Raw genomic sequence first — 18,492 nt, 5'->3', positions numbered from 1 at the left:
CAATAGAAAAAGTTAATTAGTGGTTGACTAGAGATAGAGGGAATGAGGATAACAGTATGTGACTGTAAAAGGGTACAATTGCAGGATTTGGGGGGATGATGAAAATGTTGTAAAATTGTGGTAATGGTTGCACAACTTTGAATAGACTAAAAGCCATAGAACTGTACATTTTAAATATGAATTTAATTGTATATAAATTACATCCCAATGAAATTATTACTAAAAAAATGTGAATTATTTCCTTCAGGCATCATGTTTGATTCTTTTGGAGCCAAGGAATAGAATCTCTTGGTGTACTCCAAATTACGGGAAGTTTGATATAAATATAAGAAGAAATTTGGTCATTTTTCCTGTCCTCATCACAAATTGGGGAAGCCAAACACTATATCTCATAGGGGACCCAGAAACAGTAACCAAATTGACCTCTCCAAAGTTTTAAAAGCTTACCAGAGACTTATAAGTGCTGTCAGCCCTTTGAAAGTTTGTTCAGAATACTAAGTAGCCTGAGAATACAGGTTAGCTTATGCTTTCGATGATAACATTCACTTGAGGACACAGCATTCTTGTTTATTTTCCATGTGTATCTTTTTGCTTCTTATTGAAATTAATTATTCCTCATTCTTTGGACCTAGTTTTCAAATTTCAGACAGAAAATATTCTGATTGAATTTCATTTACATCACCAGCATTTTTTGCTGGTGTAACGCTTGACATGTGATTTTTATGAGTCTGCATAAAACTCTGACTCTCTCATGAACCAGATATATTTAGAGCATAATCATGTAACAAAGCATGTGTCAATTGAATGAAAACTCATAAGAAAACAAGTTGAAAAATCTCATTGCTATGGTTTGAATGTGTTCCCTCCAAAATTCAGGTGTTACCAATTGTGATAATGCTACGAGGTGAGGCCTTTAAGAAGTAATTAGGCCATGAGGGCTCTTCTTGCAGGAACGGAGGTAAGGCACTATTGAAGAGGCTTTGAACATTGTTCAGCTAGCTTGCCCTTCCACCTTTTGCCATGTGAGAGCACAGTTTTTCTTCCCTCTGGAGTGTGCAGTCCTCATTAAACAACTGAAAATGCTGGCACCTTGATCTTGGACTTCCTATTCACCAGAACTATAAGAAAATTAATCTATCTTGTTTTTAAACTACCTAGTCTCAGGTAATTTTTTATAGCAGAACAGACACATTAAAACAGTACGTCCAGTAAATCACTTGGATTTTTCTTTACTAACATCCTAGCATTCAAAAGAACATGACTGTTCCGTTAAACAAATACTAAAGGGCAGTATCATCAGGGACCACTTGGATTCTGGAGACAAAATATGAATATAGTCTCTCTAGTCAAGAGTTTAAGACAAAGAAATATCCATTGTAAATGTGTATGTAGAATTCCCCTAGTTGACATGTGTAGTCATGTGGAAACATGATCTTCCATATGAAACTCACCCTTCCATAAAGCCTTCTATATCACCAGCCTTTCAAAATATTCATTCGCGTTAAGGTCAATGCCATCATTCCTACTGGTAAATCAGTAATTTGTTTTCATAGCAAATATTTCCAGTGCTGTTACTCAAGAACTATAACTAGAAATTATTCAAAGTCATTAATGTGGCCATTAATGTTCCTGAACCTTGTTTTCAACGTAGTGAAGTCCAATTTCCATTTTAAATGCAAGCCTAAAGTGTCCACATTGTATCACTGAAGCAGCAGATGTCAATTTGCTAAAAGCACTTTTTAATCCATCAAACAGCTATGCCTAGAGTAACCATAAAGCCAAACTTGACTGCCTTGACTGCTTGGAGATGAGACTTTCAGGGCCCTTTAAAATATGAGGTCATGAAATAAACAATCTTTAAAATGGTCTTCTACCTTCCAGTTTTCTAATTTCTAAATGAAATTGCTTACCACCTCGAGGGGATGGGAAATAAGCATTAAAATAGACATTCAACAGAAAATTTACGTTGCAGGGAGGGACTGTGATGACAGAAGAAACTGAAAAGATCAGTGTTAACTACCAACTCATATGGCTTCAGACATATGCTCCTTATGAGCCAGAAGTTCTTTGGATTACAGCAATTATAAAGTAGGAGCTCATCCTGTGGATTATGAAGAGATAGCTTCAAATCCTCTTAGAAATACTGTCAGTCTCCTTAATATTCAGCCCTTTGCACAACACTTACCTATTCGCAGAAAGAAGAGCCAAATATCAATAATTAGTTGGACTCTCACACTGACCAGAAACTAACTGAATTTTTATCGCCAGTATTTTAACCTTCAGTGCTTGAGTTACTTTGAAAATATACCAGGTAATGTTAAATAGCTGGTATGATAAAAGTAGAGGAAAAATGCATGGTTTCTGATCAGTAAAAACAGTTCATTACTTCTTTACAATAACATTGTCAAAGAGCAGAGAACTATGTAGTTTAATTTAACAAAGCAGTTATTGAGCACTTATTATGTACTCAATGATGCAAAAATAAATTTTAAAAAAAGCAGCTAGAAGAACATACTAACAGAAGTGAAGAGTGAGATGGGATAGCCTACCAGTAAGAAAAAGGCAGAAAGTTACAAACACAAACAAACAAAAATAAGTAGCAGAGTTCTCTGGGACTGTTTGGAATATTTCCAAATCAACAAAACCAGAAGGCAGGAACTATAACACGTTATGTCAATTTATGTACTTTAAGAATTATGAATCATTCAAATATTTCAAAAGTTCAATTTAGTGTTTTAGAAGATAAAAGAATGGTGATGAAGTTTGGATTGCAGTTTTTAAGAACATTTTAATTATTTCCGATGAGGTAAATTTTAATTTTCTTGAAATTCACATACAAATAATGATCCTTTATCTAACACTACAAAGATAGTGAGATGTTACTGTGTTTGTATCTCTGTGAATGTGCATGCCCACATTTATACAGTTAAGTTTACTTAGACACAGACAAGAAATTACGCTCAATTCTTCCAGATTTGTTCAGTGAGGTTTATTATCAAGTGTGTATGCAAACAGCAGGGGCTTGTATGCTTCCTTGAAATAAACGATAATATATGTGTAATAAAAATACTTGGATCTATAATTGCACTATAGCCTATGTAGAAGTAAATACAAATAAAAAGATCTTGTTTTACTCCACAGGGCTTTTTTTTTTTTTTTTTTTTTTTTTTTTTACCTTAAAACACGGGTCCTGTTTTCATAGTTATGTATAACCTGGGTCAGCTTCACAATATGCAGCCAACTACAAATCAAAACTTGAGAGTAGTGGAGAGTTTATAAGGCCTCAAAATCTCACCATTATTGCAAATGACACTGACTAAAATTAGTTCTTTTTCAGGCTATCTCTTTGGGGTTTCAAATAGTTTGGTCTAATAAGACACTCCTTATTGGAATGAAATACTCAAGGGAGAGAAGCATTTCTTAAGCTGTTATCAGTGTCCTCATTAGTGGTGTTTAATTGACAGCTAGCAGAGGTGCCCGAGGGAAGATGGGGGCTGGAAGTCAGGGTACCACAGATGAGCAACCTTGGATTCACAGTTTTGGCCCAATACTGGCCTCAACTAACTCTATACCTCTAATAATACTAAGCTTTCTCCTGTTATCTCCTTTGACTGGTTTAGGTTAAAAGTTCCATTTTGTTGGTCATTGACCTTGAAGTTTCTGTGAGACCAACCATGATATATTTAAATGTACCAATTTAAAAATAAGTGGAAAATAACTTTTCTAATATTTTATAGTCGAGCTCCCTGTAAGCTATAAGTGTGTGGGTGTATGTGTATGTAGACATAGACATAGATATACATGTGTATGTAGACATAGATATATACACATATGCAGACATAGATATGCATACATGTATGCATGTAGACATAGAGATATATACATGTATGTATGTAGACATAGATATATACATGTATGCATGTAGACATGGATATATACATGTATGCATGTAGACATGGATATATACATGTATGCATGTAGACATGGATATACACATGTATGCATGTAGACAGATATATACATGTATGTAGACATTGATATATATACATGCATGTAGACACTGATATATACATGTATGTATGTAGACAGATATATATACCTGTATGTATGTAGACATATATACATGTATGTATATAGACACACATACATGTATGTAGACATATATACATGTATGTATATAGACACATATACATGTATGTATATAGACATATATATGTATATATGTGTATATACACTTTATATACACATATACATATATATGTCCATACATGTATATACATACATGTGTATATATACACACGTATATATACGTGTGTATATATACTTGTATACACATGTATATACAGAAATATACGTATATATACGTGTATATACATGTATATACACACATGCATATGTGAATGGTACTAGTGAATGGTACTATTGGCAGGCAGGGTAAAGAATGCCTGCTATCAGCACCACCACACCCTACCGTTGTGTGCTATAGGCATGCAGTGGTGGGGTAATCAGAACACAGATGGGTAAAATCCATTTCATACACATATATACATATATACGTATATATGTATATACACGCATGTATATACACACGTGTATATATACGTGTGTATGTATGTATATATACATGTGTGTATATATACGTATATACATGTGTATATTTATGTATATATGTGTGTGTGTGTATACACACACACACACACACACACACACACACACACACCCCTAACAGTTTGGAGCTGGGAAAAGAACTTAATAAACTGCTTTCATATACTTATTTCTTTAATTGTTGTAAGTAATATATCTACAGGACTTAAAAACTAATACAGTATTACAAGGCTTATTATGAAAAACAATAATTCCTCAACTCTACCCTTCCTCCTCCCTAGCCCTACTACCGGAATAAATTAGTACAACATTTCAACGTTTTAGCTGTTTTTATATTTGCTTCCAGATTTCAGATATAGAACCACTCTTAGACCAGGTAAGCAAGAATCTAGTTCCAATAAAGTGGCTTCATTACAAGTTGCCTCCTGCTGGATGATGCAAGTATTTCTCTTTAGATTGTATAAGATTAAAGTGTTGAAATGATGCCGTCTTGCTGATTTGCAGTGATTCTCTCTTATTTGTGTCAGATCCAGGATGAGTTCAGACCCTGGGCTATCCATGGACCATGGCTGACCCTTGGCCTAAAGCCACATATCCAGGCCTATGAAATGGATTTGACCCATCTGTGATCTGATTACCCCACCACTGCATGCCTACAGCACACAAGGTAGGGTGTGGTGGTGCTGACAGCAGGCATTCTTTACCCTGCCTGCCACTAGTACCATTCACTAACTCCATGCCACTTGTCAGGCAGTCTCCAGGAGTGGCTGTGCCATTTCCTCCAAGGTTCTGAAGACTGTTGTTCTACAGGACCATGAGCCCTTCTAATCAGTGTTCTTTATCACCTGCAAGGAATGCGAAAACATCATGTTCCAGGGACAGTCTTCATTTGCGCTAGACAAAAGACAAACAATCCTTCCTTGAATGGACCCACTCTTCTTTTTTCACTCATCTCCTCTCACTGATCTCCCTGCTGGTGGTGGCGGATAGAAGGCAGAGATGTGGTCAACACCAAATGAGATTATGTTCTGGGAATTCAGAGATTACAGTCTGAAGAATTCAAGATAAGGTATGATGCTTCTAAACATATGAGTGTCTCTTTTCTCTACATCTTCAATAAATCACTTCCTTATATTTGTCATGGGCCCATGAATTTTGTTACAAATTTTAATTCAAATTGTTTATGAAACAGATGCCCCACCAAGGTATTATCCTCAGTCCCACATACCCTAGGGGAGGTCCTGTTTAACAACAAAGTGATGCTGTTTCTTGATTTCATAATTTTAGACATTATCTATTGAGTTCCTGCTATAGAAGATTAGAAATAATCTTATATTTTGCCACCTTTGTGCCCTACCTCTAGCCTAGCAATTTCACATTTTTGGTTAAATATTTTAGTTTGCATTTTTATGTTTGTTTTACCTAGAATTTGTTCATATATAAAATGAGGATAACAAATTACCAAGGTTCTAAAGTTGCTAAGGTTATATATAAAATACATTTAAAAACTCAGGGTAGTTACCTGGCACAATTTAGCACTCCAGAAATGCTTTCTACCGTCAATGCTTAGTTTACTTAGCATTTATTCTTTTTCCAAACCTTTGGGAAGAGTTGAAAATTTCCTCTTAACATGGTCAGGTGATCAAGCAGTTATAGTGTTTTTTTTTCTCCTTTGACTGTAACTCTCTTAAAATTTTCTGCCTGTTTGCTGGAAGATATTATCAAATAGAGAAATATCAAGTAGAGACCCGAGGACTTCCTAGACTACTGCACAGTATTATCCTGATTTTTTCCTTCAAGCCTCATGAGTATTAGTCCATTTGTTGAATTACACAACTTTATCTTAATTTACTCTCGATTTTGTGGAAGGAACATATATCAATAAAGTGTATTAATGTGCATGATATGCAAAACTTGTATGTTTTACCCATCTAAAGCTATCTTCGTTTTATACTGCACTGGAATAGTTTGAGTGTGGACTTTTAAGCTGAGAAAGACTATTATTCTGATTCCTAATCCTTTGATGAAATTTTGTTCGTCTTTCTCAGATGATGGACACATACATATATACCTATCTGCATGTAGAGATCTATAATAGATATTGTCCCCCTAAGAATGTTTAAGGTCTTTAAGAGCACTAAAATTGCATAGTAATTTGACTTGGTTCATGTGACTTATTAATTTCAGACTCTTCAATGACTGGTTCCTTCAATCTGGAATCACATGTCACTTTTTCTCAGGGAAAGTTTATTTTAAATTTTTGATAATATACTTGAGAGTATCTTCCAGTCTATTTTGCCTTTTCTCATATTTTGAAATTCCCAGTTTAAACCTGATTTACATGGCTTTACTCCTCATTTCTTCTTTCTATATTTTTCCTATACTTTTGAGTCAGAGCCTCAACTTTCTCCAATAAGCCTTCAAAAAATGTTTCTACTAAAATGTACTTTTTCAAATTTTCAATATCTATTTAATTCCTTAAATGTTCTGTTTTAGCATTTATTCTTTTTGTTTGTTTGTTTGTTTGTTGGAGTCTTGCTCTATCGCCCAGGCTGGAGTGCAGTGGCATGACCTCAGCTCACTGCAACTTCCTCCTCCTGGGTTCAAGTGATTCTCCTGCTTCAGCCTCCCAAGTAGCTGGGATTACAGGCATGCACCAGCATGCCCAGCTAATTTTTGTATTTTTAGTACAGACAGGGTTTTGCCATGTTGGCCACGCTGCTCTCCAACTCCTGCCCTCAGGTGATCTGCCCGCCTCTGCCTCCCAAAGCGCTAGGATTACAGGTGTGAGCCACCACATCTGGCCAAAATAGCATTTATTTTCATATTATGATGCCATATCTTGTCTTGATAATATAGTTGCTGTTCATGTTGTATTTGTTGTTTTTGAAGTTTTCTTCCCTTTAAATTTTCCATATTTCCTCAGAGTGCTTTTTGTTTTGTTTTACACACACACACACACACACACACACACACACACACACACACACGGCTTGGCATCTGTCTTTAAATTTTGTAAATTTCCTCAAATGTGTAAGCTAGCCATTCCTATGTAAGATTGACTCATTTTACAGGTAATCAGAATATCTGTACGGTGAGAAGTCCCAAAATATGAATGAGTTTGACTTGTTTGGTGGCCACTGAACTGTTTTATTAATATCAGCATTTATACATTTTTTGGTTCACAATGTCCCTCCTAGTTGGTAGTATAAGCCTGGCTTTCAGGATTCTAGAAGCTGAGTGAGAGAAGCAGGAGGATATCTCAGCATTTAGTGAGAAGACATTTACCTAATGTCCTGTTTTAATATATTCATCGACCCTCAAGGCCTCTAAATTTTGCTCAATGTGTACAAATCTAGAGCTTATTACCTTTAATTTTTCAGAGTAGATTCTTTTCCTGATAAGCTAGACGAGGGATAGTCATCTTGCTGTGTGGGTTAACGTGGGTATGTTGGCCAAAGAACAATCTAAGTGCTTTTGAAACAGTTCAAAAAATACTCTTCCCTGCTTTAATTCCCATTTCTTATCCCCACTTTAAAGTGAACTGGTGTCTCCTCTTCCTGAGACTGGTTTTGCAGCATAAATAAGGTTACTTATCACTGTCTTCTGCCTCATCCAACTGATGGATTTTAGCTTTGTCTATTACGCTGGGTAACCACTACTCTTAATTTCCCTAAATTTTAATGCCATTGTATCTCTTCACCTTTTCCTTTAGGTGTCTATAACTTTTAAAGAATTCCTTATACTCACAGAGATTTTGGATAAAGCATATAAGAACTGAGAGTATTCTGCTTATGATGTTTAATAAATATAATTTCAACATTTTATAACTGATTAACTTTAGGTGCTTGACACAGTTTGAGGCATGTGGTACACATTCCATTCCATCTGTTAAAATTATTATTAATAATGTGAATTCAATTATTGTTACTGGAAGTTTGTTGTTGCTCTTTCAATTGTTCTTTTCATGGTCACCAAGGTAGATAATGGCAGAAGTGGAATGCAAACCTTAGCTTTCCAGTCAAACCTTAACTTTCCAGCTTCCCTTCTTCATTCATTTCAGAAATAACGCATTCTTCAAAACCTCTGATCTTCTCTGTGATTAAAATTGTCTCCTATAGAAACATCTGAATTCAAGGCAGAACCTATGAAAGACATCAATAAGTAGATGTCTTATTCCAGGTTCTAACCTGGAATAAAAGGTTTTTATTTTGAGTGTATTTGTAAGTGGTTCCTTTTGTCTGAAAGTGCACATCTATTTAGATTCCTGATTACAGCGTGAAATGATGACCTTTTAAATATTTTTGAGTACCCACAAGGAGGTAAGCCATTTTTTAAGGGACTAAGAATACAGATATTAATTGTAGTCCTATTTTGAAGAAGTTCACTTACTAGAGCTTAAACAGATGAATTATAACAATCAGATAACTGAGCTAATGGCTCATGAAAAAATAATTCAGAGATCAGACGAGGTAATTACCACTTTAGCTGGAGAATCAGACTTCTCTATAATGGTGTGAAACGAGTTTGTATGGACAGTAAGGAGTAGGCATTAGACTCATATTTCAGGCAAAGGTAATGGAGGAAGAAGGAAAAACGTTGTGAAGGCATGTGCAGTGCTGTTCACAAAGTATGTGAACTGTGGTTAGAGCAGGGGTTTATAACTTTTTCAGTCAAACTCTCACATAATCCAGTCAATTCTGATCTTACTTTGGCTCCTTGACTTAAATTTTTCATGCTAGAAACCAAATGCTGATTTGCACATGTTGCATAAACAATTCAGCTCAACCTGCAGTTTGAAACAAAAATTTTAATGCTTGTCAAAATGATGAAATATTTACGATTTATCAGAGTAGTGATGGAAAAGCCACAGACCTAGAAGCTATGTGGAAAGGACTACTGGAAAGCAAGATGAGGGAGATGAAATGAGGCTTGAGTTTGATAGCACTGGCAATAAGTAGCCCTGAAAAAGGCATATTTAAAACTGATGCTATTAAGCAACTTAGTAGCATAATTAAATTTCTACTGTATAGCATATTATTTCTACTGTAAAAATGGGAGATGAAGTAGAGTGAGGAAAGAGTTGGAAAACAGAAACCAGTCCCTTGACCTACTGAGTCTGTTTTATAGTCCATCAATTAACCCCCTATAATTTGTATATCAGATTTGCCCTGACCTTAGCAAGAACTGTGAACTGGTTGGCCTTATACCTGATTACCATTCTCTACATTTCTATAAAACTTGGTTTATCCTATGACACTGGTATGGTTTATGAGTGTGGTCTGCCTACCCCTCACCCATGCTAATGCCCTATTCCCTCACAGTTCATAGTCCACAAACCACACACTTAAATAGCATCATTCACTTGACCTGTTTGGGAAAAGAATGTTTAGAAATTGTTAGAAATTGCCATTCTGAAAGTTGACATGAAGTAATGAGCACACCAAGCAAATGATTTTCAGAACATACACTCTGCCAGAACAATCTATTTTAGACAAACAATGGGAGGCTTAAAATAGCCACAGTGTCATGGCCATTTTGAAATGAATAAAATGTTTTAGGTGACAAAGGGACATGTTTGCTCTCGGTCACAAGGGAGACTGAACAAGATTCTGTGATGTGCTACTATAAAAAGGAAAAAGAATAATGTGTTCATGACTTCATGCATATGAAAGTCATATTTGTACTTTCTAGAGGCTTTGGGGTATTATTTTTTAACTAATGATAAATTCTCCTCAGCAACTTGGCAACATTTTCCTATAATTACTCCTCCTTTAAAAATATATTTCTTGGCTGGGCACGGTGGTTCATGCCTATATCACAGCATTTTGGAAGGCCGAGGCAGGCAGATCATGAGGTCAAGAGTTCGAGACCATCCTGGCCAACAATGTGAAACCCTGTCTCTACTAAAAATACAAAAATTAGCTGGGCATGGTGGCATGCACCTGTAGTCCCAGCTACTCGGGAGGCTGAGGCAGGAGAACCGCTTGAATCCCGGAGGCGAGGGTTGCAGTGAGCTGAGATCACATCACTGCTGCATCCAGCCTGGTGACAGAGTGAGACTCCATCTCAAAAAAAAAAAAAAAAAAAAAGTCTTTCTTTTTATAAGATTATTGCTTTGCATTTCTCAGTATAAAATAAATCTAAATACTATATATGTGTACACCATAATATCTGCAGCATTATAAATATCTGCAGCATTATAAAGAATGGCATTTTAAAATCAATAGTATAGGGCATAGAATTAAATTGTGCCACATAAATTTCTAAAACCTCATTATATTTTATATCTACACTGTATGAGAATTATCTCTGACCTATAGAAACTTAAAATATAAGAATTGGAAGAAATTACAAATCCTGTTATATCAGTCACAGTAATGACATAAATCAATGGCACACTTAAAGATCTCCATGAGCAGAATTTAATAAAGGGGCATCTCATAGAGTTTGAAATCTACAATAAATGGTGAAGTACCCAAGGACTATCAATAATGGGAAGCCATTATTACCATTATCACCAGTGACCTGATGGAACAAGGCGCTAAAGAAGAATTGTCAATGGTAGGAGCCAAGGAAGACAGACTGACCCACATGAGTCGTAACTGTACAGTAAATACAGCAGTTGCCCAAACTATGGCCAACCACAGAGAGGCATGAAATAGCAAGGAAGAGTCATATCTTGATCTTTCTTTACTTTTATATATTTTCAACTTCTGTTTGTCTTTTTCCAGAAATCAAGGGACTATAGCATTTACATGTTGCAATCTGCAGGGATTAATCTTTCTAGGCACAAAGCTAAAAATAACAGTATAAAACTTATGGGTACACCACTACTTTTGCCACTCAACATTCATCACTATCAACATTCCTGTAATTTATTCATGTAAACAACTTCCCATTTCCCCAGGGAGGAAAATGTAATGTCTAATCAGCCAACATATACTAGCTAGCAGGGCATGATTTTATCAGTAGCAATTAGCTACAATTGGTACTTATCTATACATTTTTAGAATAAAAAGGACAAAAAATAGTCAACACTGAACAGAGCTGCTACAGTCCCCACTTTTTAGCTGGTAGTAAGCCGCAAATGAGTAATCATAGCTTTATATACTGTGTGTTCTATCTTCTGCTGCCTTCTACCAACACTGCCAATAGTTGTGAAGTTTTTTTTTTTTTAATTTTTTTTTTTTTTTTTTTTTTTGAGACGGAGTCTCGCTCTGTAGCCCAGGCTGAAGTGCAGTGGCACCATCCAGGCTCACTGCAAGCTCTGCCTCCCGGGTTCACAACATTCTCCTGCCTCAGCCTCCCGAGTAGCTGGGACTACAGGCGCCCACCACCATGCCTGGCTAATTGTTTTTGTATTTTTAGTAGAGGCGGGGTTTCACCGTCTTAGCCAGGATGGTCTCGATCTCCTGACCTCGTGATCCGCCCACCTCGGCCTCCCAAAGTGCTGGAATTACAGGTGTGAGCCACCGCGCCTGGCCGTTGTGAAGTTTTTGTTTGTGTTTTTCTTTCCTGGGGGAATAACTCAAACTTCTATCATTACAACTTCTAAGTCCCCGTAGGACCTTTCTTCATGAGACTACTTCTGTTTTTTTATTAATTACTATTATTGAAATGGGAACACTGAGCTACACCCAAGTGATTCTCCAGGTTCCAGACATAGTCCTACATGCTATATCATGCAGCCATAATCTAATTTACTCTAGGTTATGGGTATCAAGCATCTTGCCCAGTATAATGATTCAGAAGCATGCCAATTTAGTAGAATAAAATTGTCAGGGTGCACTCTCAGCTTCTAACTGATAATAATCAAACTATGTTTCTAGAGGAATTAGTTTTTCTGGAGCACTTTTATGTCCAAACACACCAAGTCCAAGACTGTGGGAATAGGAAGAAAAGTAATTTTAGTAGATTGTTGAGTATAATTATGAGAAGAGCCACCACACCTTAACCTTTAGGTTCTGGACCCTTGAAAACTGGGAAATTTGCAAAAGGTCACACCTTAAACTGGCTTTAAGGCATACATTATACCCTTTGAGAAGGCACACCAATATAATTAGTTGTTATTCTGCAGCTTGCTCTGTAATTGATACCAACAAACCTTTCTATAGTTCTAACAATCCATATGCTTTTGAGTAATGGAGCCCAGGAAACAACCTGTGAATGTCATCAGTGAAAGCCCATTGCAGACCGCTACAAGAGGCTTGCTTACGTGTAGAGAATGGGTCAGCTTTTTAACCTGATTGTTGATAAGCTTCTCTGCCCTGGAAAATCTTCAGTGGGAATTTACATGAATACAGATATACTCATAGTCTACCTATTCTGTAAATTCCTGTCTGGAAAACTCCCTTGTAACCAGACTTCAGGCTGTCCTTTCCAAGTCCTCGGGAAATTGGGCAACCCATTAATCACTTTTCATGAGTCCGTGAGGATCCCTACACTCCAAGCCATCTCTCATTCTAGACGGTGGAAACCCAGATACTTTGCCCAAAGTTCTTCTCACTGGCAAGTTTCCTTTTCATACTATTAGGGTTACCTGTAAGTGAGGTTGTAGTGCAGCACTATGTACTTCCAGCAGGGCTAAATGCCATGCAGACTTATTTATATGCCAAGTCTACACATGGTTAACTAGGCCCCCTGTTAACTCAACACAGGAAACTCCACATGAGGCCACACATTTAGGTATAAAGAGAAGTAGTGAAGTGTTTAGAGCAGGGAGCAGGTAACATATGAATATGAGCAATATTTGTATCCAACTTGCTTGTGCCTTCAAGACTTCCTTGGGTACATTCATAACATACAACTTTCATTTAATAGAAAGTTTATCTTTCTATGTCCAACTTTCTGATTGAGTGGATCAAATTCACATTTAATATTGGGCATCTTGGGTTTCACATTCATTTAATTTTCTATGATCAGGCACTATGGCTCTATCTTGATGCAATTGCAAGATAGAAACTATTTTGCTAAATGTAAAATTTTTGTCAGCAGAATATAGAATATACCATGACCTTATTTCAACATTTGTGGGTCTTCACTGTGATTCTTCTATTGGGAGTTGCTGAAGGCTTCAGACTGTATCTCGTTATGGTATAGACTGCTAAGGCACAATCTAGGCTGCTGGAACACATGACCCAAGTGGTATAGGTGCTTGCATCACAGCCTGGATGTGATACAAATCCTTTTTTTGCTCTGGCGCTGCTAAAACTGGCAGTATTATAGACTATCTGGTAAATGAATTAGAGGATTATACTCCTCCCTCTAAAATCTAAACATTTCTCTTTTCAACCTAATGGGTGGCTCAAAAAGCAGCAACTTGTCTTTCACTTTAAAGGGGATCTTATGACGTGCCCAGAAAACTGGACCCCTAGAATCTCCAAATATATGGCATACCCCTGACATTTCTCACAAATTCTAGTACTCTGTTTTCTAGGGTATCAAGGATGTTTCCAGTTTCCTGCTCGCCAGGTTCAGTTTGCATAAGAGCATCAATATATTAGAAAAAGGTGACATTCTGAAGGATAACAAGATGATCAAACTTCTTCAGGCTAAGTCATCACAGAAGGCATGACAGTTGATATAACCCTGAGCTAAGACAGTATTAGTGTACTGTTATTCTTGAAGAGATAAAAACAAACTGTTTCTGATGTCTTTACTGATTGCACAGAGTATAAATCATTTCTTAGATCAATAGCTACATAACAGTATTTTGTTGATATCAGTATGGAATAGTAGCTGTGACTAGTATAATTGATTGAATGAATTTAAAATTACCTAGTCATTTTCCAAGAGTTATTTGACTTTCTCACAAGCCCCAGAAGGGAACAATAGATATTGTAAGTTTCACTGGGGCAATGCACTATGGACTACTAGAGGGCTGAAGGAAAGAGGTGGACATGGGTTCTAAACTACCTGTTAGATACTGTACTCATTACCTGGGTGATGTGATCTGTACCCCAAACCTCAGCATCATTCAATATACCCATGTAACAAATTTGCACATGTACCCCCATATCTAAAATAAAAGTTGAAATTATTAAAAACAAAAAAGGAGCAAAAGAGAAGTAATAAAAAGAAGCAAAATGAAATAAAATAAATAACTGAAACAATGACAATAGTTGCCAGAATCTCACTACCCATGCAGTTTTGACACTGCTGGTGGAAGAATATTCTCTGAAATTCCCCCAGGGATGCATTATTGCCTTTGGTTTCAATATGGCTAAGATGACAGTTAAGGCATGGCAGGTGACAATTCCAGAGATCCTTCCTACCATGGTACCCCACTGATACATTAAGAAATCAACTGGAGATTCTGTAATTTAGTATCTATTCCTACTCTACATTCTGGGGCATAGAAAATAACCACAGGATAGGTCCATGGATCAACTGGGCTTATCCTGAGATTTATATAGACCAAGACTCCATCTGTCACCTAATTACCATGATCACAGAGGTGACTAGACAACTCCCAGCAACTTTATATACATGAAAATCAATTTAAGACTAACTCTGTGCTTGTATATACATCTCTGGAAAGTATTAACCCAATCCTTTCAAATTTCTATTTTTCATCACTTTACATAATCAAGCACTTCAAAAGAAAATACTGCCCTAGTGGCATGTCTACTTTCCTACCTTCAGGCAAGCATTTTCTTAAAGTAACTGAACAATGACTCTTGCGTTCTATAAAATTGTGCCTTTCTCATTAATTCATTCAACATTTATTTATTAAGCACATACTAACAGCTCAAAAAAACAACTAGGCCTTAAGGATAAGAAGAACAATATCTGCACCTTGCCCCAGTGAAGCTTACATTGTAGGTTGAAGATAAACGTACATAAATACTTAATTATGGTGTGAAAATAAAGACAAAGGAAAAGTAGATCAGTGATAACACATATAAGGGAGACATCATTTGATCTGAGAGGCACCAAAGACTTCCTAGGAAGCAGATTTTTGAGTTAAAGGCTGAGAGATGCATAAGATATTAAATCAAGTTTAGAAATGTGGGAGGGAAGAAAGTTCTATGGGGCTGGAAGATCGGTTCCAAAATTCCAGGCAGACAGAAAACTATGACAATCTTAAGGAAAGCAGATATAATGGAGGATTCTGGAAGTTATACATCAATGATCAGACACATACAAGTTTCAGGTTATCAAATAAAAGTTTAGTTTAAAATGAATAAATTTATACATACCAAAACATATTTTAGATGGTAGCGGGAAGTTAAAACTGAAGCCTGGAGTAAGTAGCTCTTGTATTTGCCCAGTGTTGGCAGATCTAGATTTCAGCAGTTAAAATGAATTAGGTTTCTTGTAATCCCAAGAGCTGGAGTTAATTTCAAGTTGCCCTCTTCAACCCTTCCCTGTACACAAAGTAAACTTGAGAGGAGAGAACAACATGATCACCAGAGAAAAGACAGGAAGCACCAGAAGTAAGGAAAGGGCTTGAGGCAGCTTGCCTGGTCCAGGGACTGACTGCGGGCCAGGAGAGATTTCTGAATACAGGCAAATAGTGAGAGAGAAATCCCCAGGGCTCCACAATCCAAAACGGGCTTCTACAATCTTCGCTACAAGAGAAACCCTCCACTCACTAGGGCCTTGTTCCTGACATACAGAACTGCCTAAAGATTGCACAGAGACGCTGCTGCAGAAAGGGAACCCACAAGGAATCCCACAGGCATCCAAGCCTAGAGCAGCCTCAACGGGGTGCCATTTTGGGAGCTTAAATACCAGAGATCTACAGACATGGCTGTTGCTGCTAAACTGCTCCAAGGAAGGAGAAAGGAGACTGGGTGCTCCCACATATCCCCAGGAGGGTCCGTACCACCCTGCTACAGCCTGCTGTTAAGACTGAGACCTGAATCACACTATTCACAGCTCCTTGCCCATGCTGCTTGCCACATGGGAGGGACCCTGCCCTCTGTGGTCCCAGTCTCGAGGCACCATTTTGAGAGTTTATGGCTACGTTGCCCCCTGCCCTCAGGCTGAGTTCAGAATGGTGCAGCTGCAGCCACATCACCTGCCCAAGGAGAGACAGGAAAACAGGCTGTTCTATACACATTTAGAACAATACCCATTTCCCTGCAATGGGCTTCTGTGAGACAGACTGCACCCCCCATAGCTTCCTGCTCACACTGCCTGCCTGGGAAGGGCCCTAGCCTCCCTTGTCACAAGACCAAGGCACCATTTTGAGACTCTAATGCTGAGCTGCACCCTGTCCTTGGGTCAAATTCGAGTTGATATGGCTGCAGCCACTGCCAGGCCAAAGGAGGACACAAAACCAGGCTTTCCTATGCATACCTAGGACAAAATCCACTGCTCTGCTACTGGCTACTGTGAGACCAAGACTTGAGTGAGCCACACTCCCCACATGCTTGCCCATGCTGCTCATCTGAGGGGGGCTCTGCCCTCTCTGGTGACAAGCTTACAGCTGTTAGTGTTTTGAGAGTTTAATTCTGGTATGTGCTTACTCTTGAGCCAAGTACTAAGTAGTGTGACTACAGGTACCATCCATATAGGGGAGGCACAGGGGAGCTAAGAACACTTAGGACAATACCCACTGCTCTTCTACAGGTAGCTGTGGGACGGGGACTAGCCTGCCCAATCCATTTCACCTCCCAGGAACATGAACATGAAACACTTGAGTCCCAGTGGGCTGCTCCGCCACCACTACTGCCATCACCCACATCATACTAGCTGTCCAGATACTGAAAAACTGCCCGAACACCTGCCCCCCAACTCCCACTCCTGTATTTGAGGCAGGTTGCCTGGAGGTTCAAGCATCAACCTTCCAGGACTCACTAACATCAGAGCAATGTAAACTGCTCTGAGGCCTAAAATCAGGCACATTTGTCCCACTGCTGCTACCACTGGGGCCTAAAGACTGGCTCAGTTTGTGTCCAACTGCTGAACAAAACTTCAATGCAAGCTCAAGTGATAACTATACTCTGAGCCATGGAGGAAATCACAGATACCACTGACCCTTTTTGCAATGTGTACTGCTGTGTACTGCTGAAGACATCATACAAAGATTATACTACCAAAGGAAGCCAAAATCAAAGCCAAAATATCCTACTCAACTGACAACATGCATACATTTTCAGAAAAAAATTACCCCCTACAAAAGCAGTTTTAAAAATTTGGAAAAGCAACTGCTACACTAGATAAGCATATATCAGTGAAAGGACACACTGATACTGAAGAAAAAACAGAGAAATATGACACCACCAAAGGACCACAACAATTGCCCAGCAACAGATCCCAATCAAAAAGAATTCCTCAAAATGCCAGATAAGGAATTTAAAATATTGATTTCAAAGAAGCTTTGCATTGGTTTTCAAATTACTCTTGCATTGAGATGCAAGAGAAACTTCAAAACCAATGTAAAGAAATCAGAAAATCAATTCAGAATATGAATGAGAAATTTACCCAGGACACAGATATCTTACAAATTTTTTAAAAAGCAGAAATTCTGGAACAAAAAAATTATCTGAAAGCCCTACAAAATACATTGGGAAGCTTCTGTAATAAACTAGACCACGCAGAAGAAAAAATCTCAAAACTTGAAGTATTTTGAAATAATCTAGTCAGAAAAATATTTTTAAAAATAGAATAAAAATGAATGAACAAAGGTTTTGAGACACATAGGGCTACATAAAACCTCAGAACTTATGCGTTATTGATATTTCCAGGAAGAAAGAGCAATCAAAATGTTTAGAAAACATATTTAAGGAAATAATCAATGAAAGCATCCCAAATCTATCAAGAGTGTCAGATATGAAGATACAGGAGGCTCAGTAATTCCCAGGAAAATATATCGCAGAAAGGACTTCATCATGGCATATTATGATCATAATGGCTAAAGTCAAAGTATAAAAA

At 37.5% G+C, this 18,492-nt stretch overlaps 1 long non-coding RNA gene across 1 annotated transcript in view; it reads left to right on the top strand.

The window, feature by feature from the left end:
* The first annotated feature begins 5,486 nt into the window (after nt 1-5,486).
* LINC02553 (long intergenic non-protein coding RNA 2553) overlaps nt 5,487-18,492 on the top strand; it is a 36,991-nt gene continuing 23,985 nt past the window's right edge. Inside the window, exon 1 of the long non-coding RNA XR_007062858.1 lies at nt 5,487-5,674. This is a non-coding gene — a long non-coding RNA (long intergenic non-protein coding RNA 2553). The remainder of the gene's footprint in view (nt 5,675-18,492) is intronic.

The sequence above is a fragment of the Homo sapiens genome, chromosome 11, assembly GCF_000001405.40.
Source record: "Homo sapiens chromosome 11, GRCh38.p14 Primary Assembly".
Lineage (NCBI taxonomy): Eukaryota > Metazoa > Chordata > Mammalia > Primates > Hominidae > Homo > Homo sapiens.
This window is presented reverse-complemented; position numbering and strand designations above follow the sequence as displayed.